The following is a 20934-nucleotide window of genomic DNA, read 5'->3' as shown; positions in this document are numbered from 1 at the left end:
ACCACCGCACCTGGCCTATATTACTTTTATAATCAAAATAGTAAGTTAATTTTTAAAAAAGAAAAAAATAAGGCAATGGCCTTCAGAGCTGCAGTGTACCCTGACTCTGCCATGCATTCTGATGAAAGCTGGTCTCAGATACAAAGAAAATCTGAATAAACTAAACCCTAATAGACTAATTGTGGGCAATACTAGTCTCCTGCCAAGGCCGCATAGTCTGGGCCAGGTGCAAGATCCCTCTCCCAGGGACAATCAATGCCAAGAGGTCAGGGAATTGCACCTCTAGAGCACTAAGGCCCTTTTCCTCAATGCTCAACCGAGCACACTTGAGCAACAGCTCCTTCGGTTGAAGGGGCTCAAGGCAGGTGCAACACACAAAACAACAGCGAGCCAGACAAAGGCAGCAGCCAGGAGCAGAAAATGGGGCTTCTACGGGGCCAGTCCTGCTTTCCATGAATAATGGATGACACCTTTCTTTTCTGCTTCTTCTATCCCTCCCTATCCACACCCCTGGGAAAAAAAAAAAAAGAGGGCAATAATGAAGAAGACAGACCACAATCTGAGGTACAGAAGGCAGCAGCAGGCCCCCAGCTGCTCTTCAAGGAGACATACAGGCATGAGCAGAGGGCCAAAATCAGGAAAAGCTTCATGCCTTCCAAATAATGCTCAAATGGCAGAAAAACACCAGAGTACATTGCTTCTTGGGCTCCATAACAAACCTTGTCCATTATAAGGCTCCTGATTAGTGAGGAGAAGAAAAAAAACACACTAAAAAAGTTAAGGAGCAAAACATCACAGGACTAGGACAGAATCCTATCAGTGCAAAAGGAAGAAGTATATAGTTGTATTTGGGGGCATAGATGTACATCCCTGAAAGTATACCAAAAGGGTCTGGAAGGAGACACATTACCTGTTGATAGAGGTCATCTATGCAGAGGGGGATGGAGGCAGAAATGATATAGGAAGGAGAAAAGATGACTTTCGCCTTGCTCTTAAATATGCTTCTGTACTGTTTTCAATTTAAATAACAGATTGGCATTATTTCTACAATAAAAGTGCATTGACAACCAGCATATTTTTCTTTTTTTTTTTTTGAGACGGGGTCTCACTCTGTCACCAGGCTGGAGGGTAGTGGCACGATCTCAGCTCACTGCAACCTCCACCTCCCAGGTTCAAGCGATTCTCCTGCCTCAGCCTCCCGAGTAGCTGGGACTACAGGCATGTGCCACCACGCCCAGCTAATTTTTGTATTTAGTAGAGACAGGGTTTCACCATGTTGGCCAGGATGGTCTTGATCTCCTGACCTCGTGATCCACCTGCCTCGGCCTCCCAAAGTGCTGGTATTACAGATGTGAGCCACTGCACCCAGCCTTTCTTTTCTTTTTTTAAAATTTATTTTAGAGGCAGGGTCTTGCTTGGTTGCCCAGGCTGGAGTACAGTGGCACAATCACAGCTCACTGTAACCTCAAACTCCTGGGCTCAAGGGATCCTCTCACCTCAGCCTCTAAGTAGCTGGGACTACAGGAATTCACCACCACACCCAGATAGTCTTTTTTTAACTTTCTGTAGAGATGAGGTCTCACTATACTGCCCAGGCTGGTCTTGAACTCTTGGCCTCAAGCAATCCTCCCACTTTAGCCTCCCAAAGTGCTGCAATTACAGGCCTGAAACACTGTGCCTGGCCCAACATATTTTTAAGGGGTACTTTTTTTTTTTTTTTTTTTTTTTTGGAGACAGAGTCTTGCTCTGTTGCCCTGGCTGGAGGGCAGTGGCATAATCTCTGGTCAATGCAACCTCCACCTCCTGGGTTGAAGTGCTTCTCCTGCCTCAGCCTCCTAAGTAGCTTGGACTACAGGTGCGTGCCACCATGCCTGGCTAATTTTTTTTGTATTTTTAGTAGAGACAGGGTTTCACCATGTTTGTCAGGCTGGTCACGAACTCCTGACCTCAGGTGATCCACCCGCCTCAGCCTCCCAAAGTGCTGGGATTACAGGCGTGAACCACTGCACCCAGCCCGTAAGGGGTGCTAGCTTTGGTCTGGGAAACAGTGAAATGAAAACCACAAGTCACAAACCACAACCAGGCAAAGTTCTGTGGGGCCCTCCGATGCATCCAGAGCACACTGTGGGTTTGTTATAGTGAAACCTGAAAGGTCCCATGGAGATGTTGATCTTCACAGTCCCAAAGATTCTGTTATATCCATGAGGGATGCCTCCCTTTCCCCATATTCCTGGAATTGAGTCCTCTGTGCCATCCAGATTTCAGGGGCACAGTACAAGGCACAGCCCTATAACTGACACATGATGTAAATCATATATGGAAGATGTTCTGATGTCCATGAGGGTACAAGATCGTCTAAAAATTTGTACTGATTGAATTTCACAAGTGTGGAGAGGCTCCAACTAGTCATTTTGTATAAATCTCTCAAGACTGTGCTTAGAAAACAGTAACAACTACAATTCTAAGGAGCCAAGAGAACAGATTTCCTCCATCCTTCCCAGATTTCTTTCTCCCCACCATGATTACCTGCAGTGCAGATGTGGCAGGATGAATGTGGGGCCCAAGCAATGCCATTGACACATGCTCGATGGTTGTTTAACCTGGCGACAGGTGTGCAGGGAACCCGGACATCTAGAATCACCACCTGCGGAAATAACAAGTAAAAGGCCTGGGATCATCAGAGTTTCATAGAAAAAAACAAAAAATACTATCCACATGCAAAAATCTTTTTAGGCATAATTTTTCATTTGTGGATTTAAAGAACTAGAGACAGGATTTCCATAGGATTGAGGGAAAAGAAGACAAAGGACACGGGTAGTTGATAGTCTCTATCTTGAGCAACACTGGGCCTTTAGACTGATAGGGGAGATGCAGAAACAGACAACAGGAGTCTGGGTAATCCTGGGTCCCAGCAGGTGCATGTGGTAAGAATTCTATGCATCTCAGATGAATGGAATGAGAGCCCAGCCAAAGCAGAATCTGAGGTGCTAGCGCCACCAAACCAAGGACAACCAATGCATTCTCCCCACCCACAATTCACCTCTTTAATCAAGTAACAGACTAGAGAGAGCTGCCATTTGTTTTTCTTTTTTTTTGAGACAGAGCATGCCCTGTCACCAGGCTGGAGTGCAGTGGCATGATCTCCGCTCACTGCAAGCTCCGCTTCCCAGGTTCAAGCTATTCTCCTGCCTCAGCCTCCCGAGTAGCTGGGACTACAGGTGCCTGACACCACGCCCGGCTAATTTTTTGTATTTTTTTAGCAGAGACGGGGTTTCACCGTGTTAGCTAGGATGGTCTTGATCTCCTGACCTGTGATCCGCCCACCTTGGCCTCCCAAAGTGCTGGGATTACAGGTGTGAGCCACCGTGCCTGGCCTTTTTTTTTTTTCAGATGGAGTCTTGCTCTATCTCCCAGGCTTGAGTGCAATGGCACGATCTTGGCTCACTGCAACCTCTGCCTACCAGGTTCAAACAATTCTCTTGCCTCAGCCTCCCGAATAGCTGGAACTACAGGCGTATGCCACCACACCCAGCTAATTTTTGTATTTTTAGTAGAGACGAGGTTTCGCCATGTTGGCCAGGATGGTCTCCATCTCTTGACCTCGTGATCCACCTGCCTCAGCCTCCCAAAGTGTTGGGATTACAGGCGTGACCCAGAGCGCCCGGCCAGAGGGCTGCCATTTCTACATCTGTTTGCTAAAGCTAGATGAATCTGTCCAGACTACAGAAGGGAAAATCTGCTTTTTCACTCAGCACCATAGGCACATACGATTTGGTTTACTCTTTAGATATTGCTTTTCCTGGCTCTAACTCCAACTCTTCAAAAATTAAAAGTTCTTAACAAGTAATTCTTATTCCAGATTAGGCTTTCTCAGTCCCGGGACTGCTGTCATTTTAGGTAGGATATACTTTGCTGGGGGACTGTCCTGGGCACTGTAGGATATTTAGCAGCCTCCCTGGTCTCTACCCCCTAGATGCCATAGTACCAACTGCGTCTCTAGAGCTGTGACAATCAAAAATGCCTCCAGACATTCCCAAAGATACTCCGGGAGCCAAACTGCTCCAGTTGAGAACCAGCCTTCTAGATATACTAAGCAGTGCTGGAGTTAGGCAGGGCCCATGGTAGCCTGAGAGGAGTGCTCACCTCCATTCCATCCATGGCCATGGTGGCCAGGTAGTTAGGGTCCTGCTTGTTCCAGCAGAGGCGAAGCAGTGGGTGATGCTGTGGGTCTTCGTAAATGATGGTGCTGTGTTCTAGATGGCGGAGGTCAAACATCCGCACCGAGCCATCAGCACCCACAGAGGCAAACATGTCCCTGCCACCCCCGGCCCGGCTAAATGCAATATCATAGACCTGTTGGTGAACAAGAAGCTCCAGTCAGATTCAGATCCATTACCTCTTCTTCCTATAGGAGGGAAATCTGCCACGTCCAGTTCATCTAAACCTCGCTCATGACACAAAAGCAGATAAATGAAGCCCAAACAGTGTCTGTGAGTACTGAAACCCGAGAGCTCTAATATCAGTGGCTTCCCAAAGATGGAAGATCATTCTGCTATAGAAATTGGCTGGCTTCTTCCCACATTCCTGCTTTCCAAGTCTTCTTCCTCCAACCCGTGATAAAACAAAGGCACATGCCCTGCTGACCAACAGAACAGTGGCTGTCTTCTGCCACACAACAAGAATGAGACACTTATTTCCTGGGCCTTGTGCACAATCAGAGGCAGGTCTACGAGCTCATTAAGGCCTAGATCATCAATCACAGAGGTGAAAGCAGCCCTCCTGTGGCCACTTAATAGCAGCCAAGCTGATTCTGTGAAACCTGGACCTGAGACTCATTTGCAAGAAAGAGGTAACAGAAATTTTGAGTCACGGGAGGCCTAGATGTTCCTGTATTCACAAATAGGTTAGTAGCACCCGCTTGTCCTAGGACATGTTTTTTCTTCTCCTAGTTGGTTTGAGATCATAAGTGAATCAATTTAGGTTCTGAATCACTGTTTTCTGCTTTTATTTGCTGCAAACATTGCATATCACTAACGTCTATGAGGAAACAGAGGCAGAGAGCAACGGAGAGCTTCAGAGAAAGGACGAAGGCCGGGTGCGGATTACACCTGTAATCCCAGCACTTTGGGAGGCTGAGGCGGGCGGATCACAAGGTCAAGAGATCAAGACCATCCGGGCCAACCCAGTGAAACCCCATCTCTACTAAAAATACAAAAAAATTAGCTGAGTGTGGTGTCTGGTGCCGGTAATCCCAGCTACATGGGAGGCTAAGGCAGGAGAATCGCTTGAACCCGGGAGGCGGAGATTACAGTGAGCTGAGATCAGGCCATTGCACTCCAGCCTGGGACAGAGCGAAACTCTGTCTTAAAGAAAAAAAAAAAAAGAGGACGAAGAGGGACGAAGAGAGAGCCAGAGACAGACAAATAGAGAGAGAAACAGAAAAACTAATGCCAAACAAAACTCATCTTCTGGGGATAATAACAGCTGACTTCTGGGGAGACACGACTAGAATTTCTCACTAAATATTACAGCTCCAGTGTTGAAGTTCTGCCTACAGAGGGGCACTGCCAAATGAGCATCTATTGCTATTTAACCTCACGAATTCCTTTTTTTTCTGGCTATGAAGAAATTATGCTTGTCTTTCTATGGCAGGAAGTAGAAGTGGTTCAAAAGGGACCGGGCCAGTCATCAACAAGGAGGCACTCAGGCCTGACGTGCCTGACAGATCGAGGCTTTCTCTAGTACTGTACAGCTGCTTTAAGGCACAGCCATGTTTATCAATATGTATACCCCCCAATGACAGCTCCTGGTAACCCTCAGGGACAGAGATCCCACAGGTGCCATGGGCAGCGTGGCTGAGTGTGTAATGCTCTCTCGGCTCTAAGTGACTGCTCCTTCAGTGCTCCGCTAGCATGGTTCACTGGGAAACCAAGGGAAGGTGACAACTCCCAAGTACACTAAACCCTCTTCTACACTGATCTGCCAGGTATCAATGAGAGCCTTCCAAACAAGTCTTTTCCTAGAGAAAGGTGGACTGAGAAAAATCAAAGGTGCTAGAAAGGTGCTATTACTGTTTCTCTAGAGCCACTATCCTTTCTCAGGTTTATTCCTTCAAGACAAGGCTGCCGGTCCAGGCCTGTCTGCTGTCAAGATCCATTCCTGGCCTTTCTCCCTGCTCTTCTTCTCTGTGTCACAAGAGAACTGATTCCTACAGCGTGCATTTGGCAGGGTCTCAGATCTGCTGGCTGCTTCTGGCTGGTTCAGCCATGGGAGGCTTTGGTGGGAAAATGGATGATGGGAGGCAGGGAAAAGCTAAGGTATTTCTCCTCCCCTCTCTCTGTTCCTAGAAGCGTCTCTGCCAGGTAAATCCAGCCCCTGGGCTCCAGGAACCCTGCCTCCTCCCATGGTCCCTCTGGCCTATAGGCAGCTGCAGCTTCCTGCTGCTCCCATTCTATGGATGACCTCACTGCTACCTATGTGGCTTCTCAGCTTTACCATCTTCTGTATAAGCAGCCCCTGGATTAAATCCCTGCAGTTCAAATACTTAAGAGTAGTTCCCATTTTCTGGGTTGGACCTAACAGACAACAGCAGGCTAAGTTGTCATATAACTAAAATGTAGCCGCTTGTTCAACTTGATGCCAAGAGGGTTTCCAGAAGTTCCTTACTGGTCCTCTCTGTGGGACAAACTCTTCATTTGACCCCTGGTTTAGCAGCAGTCAACTCTAGAAGTCTTGTAACAGGGCTTACCTTCAGGAGTACAGAAAGCCAAAGACAACCCCTTACTAAGAATGATAACCTGGGTCACATCTTCCTATGCTGTTGACAACCTCAAGTTTCTGACCTAAGATCAAGGCATTCCTTTTATCTGTATAGATATTAATACCCCTAGCTGTGCAGGGTAAGGTAGAAAAGAACAGGAAATAGTACCCACAGGAGATGAGAGTACCAGGAGCATGCAATGGCTGTAGGAGGAAAAGACTTATGGGGATTTTCCAAAATCACTGAGAAGAATGCTTTGATTAAAATGCAATTGGCCGGGCGCAGTGGCTCACGCCTGTAATCCCAGCACTTTGGGAGGCCAAGGTGGGTGGATCACCTGAGGTCAGGAGAGTTCGAGACAATCCTGGCCAACATGGTGAAACCCTGTCTCTGCTAAAAAATACAAAAATTAGCCAGGGGTGGTTGCGGGCACCTGTAATCTCAGCTACTCCGGAAGCTGAGGCAGGAGAATTGCTTGAACCCAGAAGGCAGAGGATGCAGTGAGCCCAGATTGCGCCATTGCACTCCAGCCTGGGCAACAAGAGGAAAACTTTGTCTCAAAAAAAAAAAAAAAAAAAAAAAAAAAAGCAATCACAAATAGCTCTTCTCAGTTTTCCCAATAAACACAGAAGCATCGCCATCAAAATAAAATATATTCCATTGCCTCCACTGCCAACAGTAATGAAAGTATAAAGATTAAGTGAACATACTAGGATTTGGTAAAACATTTATAGAGAAAAATGAATAATTACGTTTGTCTCTCAGAAAATTTTTTCTCTTCCTGTCTCCCTTCTTTCCTCCCCAAATCTAATCTGTTTCAAGATAAGTATTACTCTAAAGTTATTTTTTAATCACATCAGTTCCCAGCTCCTCTATAAGAGACTTTGTTATTTAAAAAAAGCAACCTCTGGCATGAAAAGAACAATGACAGACCGTAGAATAGGTCATTTACATTAGCCAAAAAAAAGCATTAGTTTACAATAGTGTTGTTTTCCCGTTTTTGATACATTACTATTGTCAATTTAGACAAGAAGATGTTATGTTATGATTTTCTACATAAATTGCAGAACAATGAGAGAACAAGCTGACCTCTTCCTGTGCGGAAGGCACAGGAAGCATTTGAGGAAAGACGAAATGGAAAAGCATCTTACCTCTTTGTCATGGGCGATCAGCTGGGTCTTCACGTGGCCAGACACGAGATTCACTCGCCCTAACACCTGCCCTGTCTCCAGCCCCCAGATGGTGCATGTCGTATCAATGCTTGAGGTACCTGCAAACAACCAGTGCAAGTCAGGGCTGACGGGACCAAGGTTCTCATGCAAGCTTCCCTCTTGTGTTTACTCATCTGCTCAGCCCAGGGAGCAGCATACCATAAAGACTACAGAAAACAAGGTGGGGGCTACCGGCAGAGCCACCGAGGCAGTCAAGTCTTCAGTCCTCACCGTAGGACCTTAGATTCTAACTGGAGAGACAAGATCTATACACACGGAAAGCTCACCCACACAAAGGAATTAATAAATAACCACATTCCACGCCTAGCCTACTTCCCACTGAGCCTTGTTCTAGGATGTATGGCCCAGTGTGACATCTGAGAAAATTTATTTTGGCTTCTTCCAGCTGAAATACATACTCCCTAACTCCCTTACCTAAAAGATAAGGATCCACCTCATTCCAGTCAAAGGAGGTCAGGGGAGCACAGAAATCAGAGTTCTTATTATTGTTTAGCAAACACTCCAGCCTGGTCTCTGTTTCACCAACCTGAAGGAACAAGAATTTTAAAAAAAATCAGCCAGTCTTATCCTCATAAAAAGTCTTTTAAAAAATCCCTGTTTAGAAAATATCTTAGCAAACATAAGACATGAGGGGAAAACATTTTTATCAAAAACAGTAATAAACCCAGGACTCCCTGAATGCTACTTTTTCCCATACTTTCTCCTCTGCCCAGCTTTGTTTTCTACATTTTCATCCCTGCACCTTCCTAGAGGAGAGGTCTTCTCACTTTGCCCAGCCTGGAACCTCTGCACAGGTGTACTAAGGCCACGCCCATGCTACAGAGGACGCTGCTGCTGATGAGCTCAGCTGAGGGTGGAGGGAAGCCTCCAAGATCCACTCACACACTTTATCAGAATCAATGGCCTGGTATTTCATTTAGTTTACTCAAAAATACCTTGGCTGCAAACAGAATATGAGTTCCCAAGTATTCCCACCTCCACTGAAGGCCGTCATCATCACCTCGGGTTGACTGAGCTGACTGCAGCCAGCAGCCAGACTTCATGGAATCTTGACTTGATATACTAGAAAATCTGCTGAGCCAAACGAGGCCAGTCCATTTAAGCTTCGCTTGCTTCTCCTGTGCTGCAATGACACTCGCTGCCTCTGACCCCTGTCTGTTCTGTGACTTTTCACTGCTAACAGCTGAGGCTGAGAAAGCCCACTTGTCTGGCTGCTAATAAAGCATCCGCTTACCCTCCACACACGGAGATAGTCACCGCTTGTTGCCAGTAGGTCTGGATAGACGCCTTTTGTGTCAGGGATCCACATGAGCTTTGTGGTGGGGTATGGGTGGTCAAAGGTGTTTCTGCAAATAAACTCTGAACTCTCCTCATCTAAACCAACAAGCTGAACCTGTAACATACCAAAGTTGAGCCACATAAGCATTTGTGAGCAGTACAGCAAATACATTAGATCCCTGGTCAGTGACAGAGGTTTTTTTTGTTTGTTTTTTGTTTTAAAGACAGGATCTTGCTCTGTTGCCCAGGCTGGAGTGCAGTGGTGCAACCACAGCTCAGTGCAGCCTCCACCTCCTGGTCTCAAGTGATCCTTCCACCTCAGCCTCTCAAGTAGCTGGGGTTAGAGGCATGCACCACCAGACACAGCTAATTTTGTTCATTTTTTGTAGAGACAAGGCCTCACATGTTGCCCAGGCTGGCCTTGAACTCCTGGGCTCAACTGATCCTCCCACCTCAGCCTCCCAAAAGTGCTGGGATTACAGACATGAGTCACTATGCCTGGCCAGTGACAGAAGTCTTGACACTGTACTACACTAAACTGCAGAATCAAAAACGATTGCCATGAGAGGGTATCTAGTCCAACCATCCTCTGGCAGACAAGGACACCCAGACTCAAAGGGGTGGTTACACTCAACACTGCAAAGCCAGTAGGAGACAGAGATTACAGGTTTTCTGACTCAAGTCTGCATTCTTGACTCCAACTACATAAGTGCACTATCTGCCAGGCCAGGCACACCTTCCCCTGAAACCCCTAAGGTATTTGAAAATGACCAGGGGTGGTTCTTGGCTGCCACAATGACTGAAGTGCTGAGGACATTTGGTGCTCAGGGGCCAGGAATATGAAACACCCTTTGCAATTTCATTAAACAAACTAATGCTCACTTAAAAATCCAATAGTGCACAACCCTCACCAACCCCAAACTCAACACTGGCTCATTATGTTTACACATAAAGGTATGTCAAATGACCGTTTGAGAGCCCAAACCACTGTGACTGGCAAAAAAAAAGTCGGCGCCATTGATGAGAAAGTCCCACCTAGCTCTGATCACTTTTTCTTAGAGTCAATTTTAGCCCACCATTAACTTCCAATCTTTGCTGTCAAACTCAATCTGGCTCAATGGGACACTAACTGTACATTTGCTTATGAACTTCCAACTGGAAGATGGAATAGTGGGGATATTTGGTAAACATCCACAATAAGGGGAAAAGCACTAACCAGACAACACAAAATAAAATTCCTTCTACTCATCTTTCTGACCTCAGTCTCAGACACACCAGTATCTTCCAGACATTTTCCCCCCAAAGTTAGGTATAGTTGCATATAATAAAACCCACTCAAGTGTACAGTTAAATGAGTTTTGGCAAATGTACAGTTGTATAACCCCCACAGTAAGATATAAAACATTTCCATTAACCCAGAAAGCTCTCCCAGGCTCCTCCGCAGTCAACCCCTCATACCTACCCCAAGTAGCCACTGATCTATGGTTTTGTCTCTCCATAATACGATATAAATAGAATCAGATGGTCTTGAGTCTTTGTGTCTGGCTACTTTCATCAGTACACTGCTCTTGAGATTCATCCATGTTCTTGTGTGTATCAGTAGTTGCTTCTTTTCTTACTGCTGAATAATATTGCATTATGTGCAATGTGGCAGTATAATTTTGGGTTGTTGAGATAGGGTCTCACTCTGTTGCACTGGTTCGAGTGCAGTGGTGCAATCGTGGTTCACTGCAGGCTCAACCTCCTGGGCTTAAGCAATCCTCCAGCTTCAGCCTCCTGAGTAGCTGGGACCACAGGCATGTGCCACCACACCCAGCTAATTTCTAAATTTTTTGTAGAGATGGGGTCTCCTTATGTTGCCCAGGCTGGCCTCGAACTTCTGGGCTCAAGTGATCCTCCTGGCTTGGCCTCCCAAAGTGCTGGGATTACAGGCGTAAGCACCGCACCCAAAAAATTTTTTATGTCCTAGTTGAGAAATCTTTGCCTAATCCCAGGTCCCAAATATTTTTCCCTGTTTTCTTCTAAAAGTTTTCTAGTTTTAGGCTTCATATTTAGGTCTCTGAGTCATTTCAAGTTAAATTTTTATATGGTACAAGATATGAATCAAGGTTTGCTTTTTGTTGTTGTTTTTCCTTTTGAGACGGAGTTTTGCTCTTGTCACCCAGGCTGGAGTGCAATGGGCACAGTCTTGGCTTACGGCAACCTCCACCTCCTTGGTTCAAGCAATTCTCCTACCTCTCTGCCTCCTAAGTAGCTGGGACTACAGGCATGTGCCACTACGCCCGGCTAATTTTTTAATATTTTTAGTAGAGAAGGGTCTTCACCATTTTGGCCAGTCTAGTCTCGAACTCTTGACCTCAGGTGATCCACACGCCTCGGCCTCCCAAAGTGCTAGGATTACAGGCGTGAGCTACAGCTCCCGAACAAGGTTTGCTTTTTTACATATGAACGTCTGACTCTTCCAGCATCATTGGTTGAGAATTCTTTCTCCTTTGCATTACCTTGACCCCTTTATTGAAAATCAGTTGACCATGTATTTATTCATCTATTTCTGGACTCTATTCTGTTCCATTATTTATTTGCCTATCTGTCTGCTAGTAGGCAAACTGTCTTGATTATAGTAGCTTTCTAGTAAGTTCTAAAATCAGACAGTGAGTTCTCCAACTTTGTTCTTCTGTTTCAAAATTGTTTTGCTATTCTCTACTTTTGCTTTTCCATGTACATTTTACAATCAGCTTGTCGAATTTTACAAAAAGCCTGCTGAGATTCTGATTGGGATTGTGTTGAATCTATTGAGCAGTCTGGGGAGAACTGACATCTTACAATATTAAGTCTTCCAACGCATAAACATAGCACATTTCTCCATTAATTTACGCCTTTTTTAAGTTCTTTTTTTTCAGACAGAGTCTCGCTCTAGCACCCAAGCTGGAGTGCAGTGGCACGATCTTGGCTCACTGCAACCTCTGCCTCCCATGTTCAAGTGATTCTCATGCCTTAGCTGGGACTACAGGTGCGCACCACCACGCCCAGGCAATTTTTGTATTTTTAGTAGAGATGGGGTTTTGCCATGTCGGCTAGGCTGGTCGCTAACTCCTGGCCTCAAGTGATCTGCCTGTCTCGCCCTCTCAGGGTGCTGATATTACAGGCGTGAACCACTACGCCCGGCTGCCTTAATTTCTTTCAGCAATGTTTTAAAGTTTTCAGTGTACTTCTTATGATTCTTTCATTAATTTTATTTCTTTATTTCTTTTTCTGAGACTGAGTCTCGCTCTGTCGCCTCAGCTGGAGTGTAGGGGCATGATCTCCGCTTACTGAAACCTCCGTTTCCCAGGTTCAAGCAATTCTCCTGCCTCAGCCTCCCATGTTGCTGGAATTATAGGCGTGCGTGACCACGCCTGGCTAATTTTAATTTTTATTTTTTGTATTTTTTAGTAGAGACAGGGTTTCACCATGTTGGCCAGGCTGGTCTCAAACTCCTGACCTCAAGTGATCTGCCCATCTCAGCCTGACAGAGTTCTGGGATTATTGGCATGAGCTACTGCGCCTGGCCCATTAACTTGATTTCTACACAAGTTTTATGCTATTATAAATGAAATTGTGTTTTATTTTTTTTAAGATAGGATCTTGCTTGTCACCCAGGGTGGAGTGTAGTGGCTCAATCACAGCTCACTACAGCCTTGACCTCCTAGGCTCAATTGATCCTACCACCTCAGCCTCCCAAGTAGCTGGGACTACAGGTACAAGCCACCGTACCCAGCTAATTTTTGTATTTTTTGTAGAGACAGGGTTTTGCCATGTTGCCCAGGCTGGTCTTGAACTCCTGGGCTCAAGTGATCCACCCACTCTGGCCTCCCAGTATGCTGGGCTTACACATATGAGCCACTGTGCTTGACCATGAAACTGTTTTAAATTCCATTTCCAATTGTTCATTGGTACTGTATATAGAAATACAACTGATTTTTGTACATTAATCTTGGCTTCTATAACTTTGCTACATTAGTTATTAGTTTTAGTAGCTTTTTTGTAGATTCCTAAGGATTTTTCTACATATATTCATAGATCTTGTCATCCATGTTTAACTCTTAAAAATCCATATGACTAAGTCTAAATATTCATTTTATGGAGCACCCACAGACTTTCAACAATCATATAATTGTTAGGGGAGTTAACGTATAAAGATGTAAAAGGAGACAAAACCCAGTGTCCTAAAACACTTAAGATAGCAATGCAAGTAATGTCACAAGGTAATACATGATTGGCTTCTTATTTATGACACAGATAATAATCGATAACAATTGAGAGGAAACAGCAATAATTCAAATGGGGCACCTGAGGAAAAAAGTAAGCATCTGAGCAGAGTCTTCAAAGGAGAATAGGAAGGATCTGGGTAGGCAAATAGGAAAGGGAAGGGCATCCCAGGTAGGTAGAACAGAAGGGTCACACATACAAAGGTGGCAAACTAAATGACCCATTTGATAGCAGCAAGCAGGCCTGTTTGAGAGAGCCACGTGGGAGTGCAGCGGAGATGCAGCTGGGAAGGTGTGCTGAGGGTAGGCTGGAAGGCACCAAAAGCAACCTTCACCTTCCCCCGATGAAGGTGTCTGAGAAGACAGTGGTATGATTACAAGGCCTCTGAGGGCCACACATCTGGTAGTGCTGGGCGGGACAGACTGGATCAAGGAGGTGGCTGGAGGCAGGGAGCCCAGAGGGGAACAGGGGAAAAATTAAGGGATAGTGAGAATGGCAAGGGATAACCAGGAATGGCCACAAGAGGGACTGTGACCAAATGAACAGTTTTTACATGGAACTAAAAAGTTGACATTCTCACCTTTGCATAATTTTTTTTTTTTTTTTGAGACGGATTTTCACTCTTGTCACCCAGGCTGGAGTGCAATGGCGCAATCTTGGTTCACTGCTACCTCAGCCTCTCAGGTTTAAGCGATTCTCCTGCCTCAGCCTCCCAAGTAGCTGGGATTACAGGCAGATGCCACTGTACCCTGCTAATTTTTTTTTTGTATTTTTCGTAGAGATGGGGTTTCACCATGTCGGTCAGGCTGCTCTCAAGCTCCTGATCTCAGGTGATCCACCCGCCTTGGCCTCCCAAAGTGCTGGGATTACAGGCATAAGCCACCACGCCCAGCCAGAAAATATTACATAAAGAAGGAAGATTCTAGATGAAATGTGGAATTTTTGGTATCAGCCTTTGTGGAGGAGAAACGGGAAAAAAACCCAGATGAGAGTGCTTGCTTCAGCAGCACACACACTCAAATCAGAACTATACAAAGGTTAGCATGGTCCCTGCACAAGGATGACATGGAAATTTGTAAAGTGTTCTGTATTTTCACAAAGGATAAATGCTTGGGGCAATGGATACCCAATTTTCCAAGTTGTGATTATTATGTTTTGCATGCCTATACCAAAATAGATACACCTATTATGTACCCACACAACAACAACAACAACAAAAACATGAAAGGCTAAATTCTGAGGCTCATTGGGCAGAATAAAGAATAAACCTCTGAGGCTGGGTGTGGTGGCTCACACCTGTAGTCTCAGCACTTTGGGAGGCCAAGGAGGGTGGATGGCTTGAGCCCAGGAATTCGAGACTAGACTGGGCAACATGGTGAAACTTCATCTCTACAAAAAATACAAAAATTAGCCGGGTGTGGTAGCGCATGCCTGTAGTCCCAGCTAATTGGGAAGCTGAGGTGGGAGGATGGTTTGAGCCTAGGAGGTAGAGGTTGCAGTGAGCTGAGATCATGCCACCACACTGCAGCCTGGGCAACAGAGCGAGGCCTTGTCTCAGAAAAACAAAGAAAAAAGAAAGAATAAGTCTCTGATGTAGATTGTGAGCCAGATATTTATATATTCATTCAAGAAGTATTTAGTAGACAGCTCTTAGGAGTCAGGCACTGTTTTAAGTGCTGTGGATACACCAGGGAGCATGAAACCCCAAATCCCTCTCTAACTTTGCAGATAACACTGTGAAGTTCAACTGGAAGAGAAAATGTCTTTCAAGTCATCAGAGATTTCCTCCCAAGCTTCAAATATCCAATCTTGTGAGCATTTGACACTTGGGATCCTCTTAGCCTAACAAGACTTTCTACCACCCAGCCCTAACTTACCTTATATTCCACCTTCATTTATCTAGTCACTGCTTCCCATCCCTTTCCTTACACTTCCCTCTATACCTGTAAAATCCTCATACATCCTTTCCACTGACCCAAATCCTGCCCAATGTTAATACGGCACAGTGGAATTGGGCTTCTAGGGCTCCCCACTTAACCACCTGCTAGCTGTAAGACTTTGGACATGTTACTTAACTCTGCTCATCTTGTTTCCCAATCTGTAAAGTGAGGATATTCACAGTACCTACCTTGAGTTGTATGTAACAGCTCTACATAGAACTGTCTTACTCAATATATGAGCTTTGAATATTATGACATCTTGCCTCCTTCATAAGGCATTCACAGTCTTCCTGGTCCAGTGCTCTTTCTTTCAGTGCTTATCTCTAACATCTGTTTGGTGACTAATCCCATAGTGCCTCATGAAAGCACTGACATTACTGTCTTATGCTATTTCACTTAGTAAATGCCTTAAATATAGGCCTGTGTCTTACTTCTGCTTGTACTGCCTACAGCAATGGTTTTCCAACTTAGCTATCAGACTTGCCTGAAGAGGTTTACATTCCTAGGCCTTCAACTCCAGCCTAAGATTCTGATTCAGTAAGTGTCAAGTGAGGCCCAGGACTCTCTATTCTTAGGAATTCATCACCCCTGGTGATGTGATTTCAGCAAAGTTTGACAATCTCTGAAAAATAGTACCTAACCTAAGAGAGAAGTCAGGAAATAGCTGAGATTCGATCTTTCCTTGACCTTATCAATGCTTTCAGAAGAGGTAATGACTTAAATTTTTAATTTGAATTCAAGAAAAAAGCCATCCTCATTTTTCAGAAAAGGCTCATGAAATTCAAGTCCTGACGTAATTTTTAAAAATGATTTTCCCCAATTAGAAAATTAAAACTTCTTCTTTATAAAAAATACTGCCCCCCCACACACAAAAAATTAAAATTAAAATCCCACCACATAAAGATAACCATTCATTTTCTTTTTTCCCATGGTTCTTTATAGTTTTTAAGTATTTTCAAGCATTACAGAAGTAATTTATACTAACTGTAAATAATTAAGGTACTAAGTATAGAGAATTAAAAGTACAAGTCCCTCTTTCAATGCCACCCCATCCCTCTATACCAGTAATTGCCATTTGGTTTGATATAACTACTTCCAGATCTTGCCTACAGATTTACAGATACAAATTTTCTTTACATAAATATAATTATACTATTCTGCAACTCACTTCCTTTACACAATATATCAATTTTCTTTTCTTTTTTTTTTTTGAGACGGAGACTCACTTTCTCGCCCAGACTGCAATGCAGTGGCACGATCTTGGCTCACTACAACCTCCACTTCCTGGATTCAAGTGATTCTCTTGCCTCAGCCTCCTGAGTAGCTGGGATTACAGGCACCCGCCATCGCACCTGGCTAATTTTTGTATTTTTAGTAGAGACAGGGCTTCGCCATGTTGGCCAAGCTGGTCTTGAACTTCTGACCTCAAGTGATCTACCAGCCTCGGCCTCCCAAAGTGCTGGGATTACAGGCATGAGCCACCGTGCCTGGCCATCTTTTCTCTTTTCAAAAAATTTTAAAATTTTTTCCAATCATATTCTGCATGACAATTTTCTTTTTCATGCTGGTGCCAATACAAATAAATCTGTCTAATTGTCACAACTGTATAGCATTCCACAAGATAGCCAAATTACAATGTATTTAATCCCAAAAGACAGTTAGACTAATTCCCATTTTCCCTATGAAAAACAATGCCTCAATATATATCCTAATAATGTTTTTCTGCACTAGTAAGTTATAGTGCTCTATAGAGCAGAGCACTACTTTCTGACTTGCCTTGCAATTTACACTCTTACCACCTAACTATGCAAATGCCTGTTTCCCTACACCCTCCCTCACAAGGGAAGAGGAGGCTTCCCTATCAAGGATATATATGAGAGGACCAGTATCTAGGAGGCAAAGAATATAATAAACATTTTTCCTATCTTTTTTTTTCTTTTTTTTTGAGACGGAGTCTCACTGTTGCCCAGGCTGGAGTGCAGTGGCGCAATCTCAGCTCACTGCAACCTCCGCTTCCCAGGTTCAAGCGATTCTTGTGCCTCAGCCTCCCGAGTAGCTGGGATTACAGGTGCATACCACCACGCCTGGCTAATTTTTCCATATTTTGTAGAGACGGGGTTTTGCTGCGTTGCCCAGGCTGGTCTGGAACTCCTGAGCTCAAGCAATCTGCCTGCATTGGCCTCCCAAAGTGCTGGGATTAGAGGTGTGAGCCATCACGCCTTGCCTTTCCTATCATTTCTGTCAGCTGTTAGGCTGATGTGACCAACATCCCTGTAATGAATCACCCTCCCCACCAGTAATGTTTAACCCACTGTAGTACACACACTTGACATAGCTGGTGCTTCCCAGTTTCTCTTACCAAAGTACTTGGAAAAAGACATCTAGACCGGGTGTGGTGGCTCACACCTGTAATCCCAGCACTTTGGGAGGTTGAGGCAGGCAGCTTACCTGAGGTCAGAAGTTCAAGACCAGCCTGGCCAACATGGCGAAAGCCCGTCTCTACAAAAAATACAAAGATTAGCAAAGCGTGGTGGTGCACACCTGTAATCCCAGCTTCTCAGAAGGCTGAGGCAGGAGAATCACTTGAACCCGGGAGGCAGAATTTGCAGTGAGCCAAGATTGTACTACTGCACCCCACCCTGAGCAACAGAGTGACACTCCATCTCAAAACAAAGACAGAAACAAAAACAAAAAGACATCTAGACTATTTAAAAATAAAAAGGTACATTTGTTACTCAGAGGTCAGATAGTATTGGCTCCTAAATATCTGACCAAGATTTGAGACACCTTAGAATTAAACAAAAACAAAAACAAAAACAAAAAACCACCAAAGTGGTATATATGAAGCCATGACTGTGGATGGTGCTGCTATGTGAGAGTGCACGGCCTGGAGATCAGGCCTGGTGGTACTGTTGGAATTTGCAGGGCAGCTTAAAAACTATGCCTGCTTGGTCCCCACCCTCTGAAGGTTCTGATTTACTAGGTCTGGGCATGAGCTTTTTTTTTTTTTTTTCCTTAAAGTAGAGCTCCATAGGTTATTCCAACACACCCTATAAGAAAGAGGACTGGTAGGTTAAAGCCAAAAATGGGGACACCCTAGAGGACATCTTTGGGAGAATAATCTACCTAGGCCAAGACCCCACTATCTGAGCATTCCACGCCTATAAGATGACCCTCTTCTCTCCTAGATCAGTGCTTCTTAACCATGGACCACAGCTCTATGTTAGAATCCTCTGGGAACTTAAACATATCCCAACAAATTAGGTTTAGTAACATCCCAGACCACTAAAACCAGAATTTCTGGTAATGGGACACAGGCTTTGGTATCTATTAAAGCTCCCAGTGACATCAAATAATAGCCAAGGTTGAGAATTAATGTGCTAGATTGACACAGGTGTTTGAACTGGTTGGACTTCTGAGCTAACCGATTCACTCCTAAGCATTTGGAATTAAGACCCAAAAGCTATCTAGTTTTAGCCTGGAAGGCAAAAGGCAGGAAAGGGCCACAGACGCAGCGTGCATGGAGCTGCAGGGAAAGCTGGCATACATAGCGAGTGAGAATGACAAGCATGCAAGGAAAGAGGCAGAAAAGAGACATGTATTGTGAGGTGGGGCAGGGTGTGAGACAACAGCTTTCCACTGGCCGGGTCCAGTCCCATGAGAGGCCTGAGGCTCATTCTTGCCTTCCGATTCTCCAACTCCCTTGAATGAAAACCTCCCTTTCCTTCAACTACCTTGAGTGGGTTTCTGTTTCTTGCGAGCAACGAACGTTAAATCAAGCCAAGAAAATAACAAAAACAGAGATGGTTTCTGTTAATGACAGAGATCAACTAAGCTAGCTTTCAACGTATTTCAGTGTAAAATTTAAAGCGCCTGAGTTTAATGTTAGGTTGGTGCAAAGGTAATTGTGTTTTTTTGCCATCATAAGTGATGGCCAAAACTGCAAATTACCTTTGCACTAACCTAATATAACTGATAACCAAAGCAAAGACTAAGAACTTTCTACATATAGTACCCCGAATAAAATGCAAAGCTTCTCTGGAATATCTTAGGGCATGCCCAATTCTACCATGTATCTTTCTACATCCGAAATCAGACCTGGGCACGGTGGCTCACTCTTGTAATCCCAGCACTTTGGGAGGCTGAGGCGGGTGGATCACTTGAGGTCAGGAGTTCGAGGCCAGCCTGGCTCTACTAAAAATACAAAAATTAGCTGGGTGAGGTGGTGCATGCCTGTAGTCCCAGCTACTTGGGAGGCTGAGGCAGGAGAATCGCTTGAACCCAGGAGGTGGAGGTTATGGTGAGCTGAGATCACGCCACTGCACTCCAGCCTGGGCAACAGAGCGAGACTCCATCTCAAAAAACAAAAACAATAACAAAACAAAATCAGGGTAAAATTTCAGGGTACATGCTATATTTAAGAAGGATGCCAGGCTGGGTGCGGTGGCTCATGACTATAATCCCAACACCCTGGGATGCCAAGGCCAGAGGATTACTTGAGCCCAAGAGGAATTTGAGACCAGCCTGGGCAACATGACAAAATCCCATCTCTGTAAGAAGTAAAAAAAAATTAGCCAGGTGTGGTTGCACGGGCCTGTAGTCCCAGTTACTCAGGAGGCTGAGATGGGAGGACCACCCGAACCCAGAAAGTCAAGGCTGTAGTGAGCTGTGATTGTGCCACCGCACTCCAGCCTGGGCAACAAAGTGAGACCTTGTCTTAGGGGGGAAAAAAAAGAAGGACGCCAAATAAAATCTCATGTACTGTTACAAAACAATGTAAGCTTTGCCTACGACTAGAGTTTAGCATGTTGTGTGCTTTATAATATTTCTGACCAGAAATTCATCTCTTTCCAAAATTGATTGTGTTTTCTTCAACATTTCAAGATTGTACTACTTACAATAGACAGTCCTGGCCCACCTGAATGTTCTAATCACACAGCCTAGTTTCTCTTTCCAAAGACTACATTGTGTTTGCACAAGTGTGTGTTTTAGCCTCAGCCAAACTGACACTGGCTCTTCTGCTCCAAGTTGCCAACCAAATATTGAGAGGAATTACAATTGGCTCTCATGTTGTTCAATTTTTTTTTGTTCAGATATCCATTTAAATTTAATGATGAAAGAAAATATAAGTTCTCTCTGAATATGCATATAATACAGAGTAAAAGAGTAAAGCCTCCCATCTGCTTACTGACCCTCAAAAATCCTTACTGATGCTATTTGGTGTGCATCTTTCCAAATACTTCTCCATGTATTTGTGTGTGGTTTTTTCTTTTTTTAAAAAAGCATAAATAGGTGCTAGGTGCAGTGGCTCACACCTGTAATCCCAGCACTTTGGGAGACTGAGAAGGGAGTATCACTTGAGCCCAGTAGTTTGAGACCAGCCTGGGCAACATAATGAGACCTCATCTGTTTAAAAAAGAAAGAAAGAAAGAAAAAAGCTTAAATAGACTTGCATCATAAAATGTATTCTGCAACT

At 44.5% G+C, this 20934-nt stretch overlaps 1 protein-coding gene and 1 pseudogene across 2 annotated transcripts in view; one reads left to right on the top strand and one right to left on the bottom strand.

The window, feature by feature from the left end:
• The window catches only part of DCAF7 (DDB1 and CUL4 associated factor 7), a 43790-nt gene that overhangs the window by 6412 nt on the left and 16444 nt on the right, over positions 1–20934 (bottom strand). For both annotated transcript variants that reach the window (NR_073585.2, NM_005828.5), the window contains exons 2-6: positions 9227–9385; positions 8407–8518; positions 7912–8030; positions 4144–4353; positions 2527–2644 (exon numbers count right to left, since the gene is read on the bottom strand). Coding sequence is in view for 1 of the 2 variants with exons in the window: in NM_005828.5 (NP_005819.3) it covers positions 2527–2644; positions 4144–4353; positions 7912–8030; positions 8407–8518; positions 9227–9385 (718 nt within the window). In the remaining variant the exon portion in view is untranslated. The remainder of the gene's footprint in view (positions 1–2526; positions 2645–4143; positions 4354–7911; positions 8031–8406; positions 8519–9226; positions 9386–20934) is intronic.
• Positions 14510–14613, top strand: RNU6-288P (RNA, U6 small nuclear 288, pseudogene; annotated as a pseudogene).

Source organism: Homo sapiens, chromosome 17, assembly GCF_000001405.40.
Source record: "Homo sapiens chromosome 17, GRCh38.p14 Primary Assembly".
NCBI lineage: Eukaryota > Metazoa > Chordata > Mammalia > Primates > Hominidae > Homo > Homo sapiens.
Note: the sequence above shows the minus strand (reverse complement) of the source record. Positions and strands in the feature narration are given on the sequence as shown.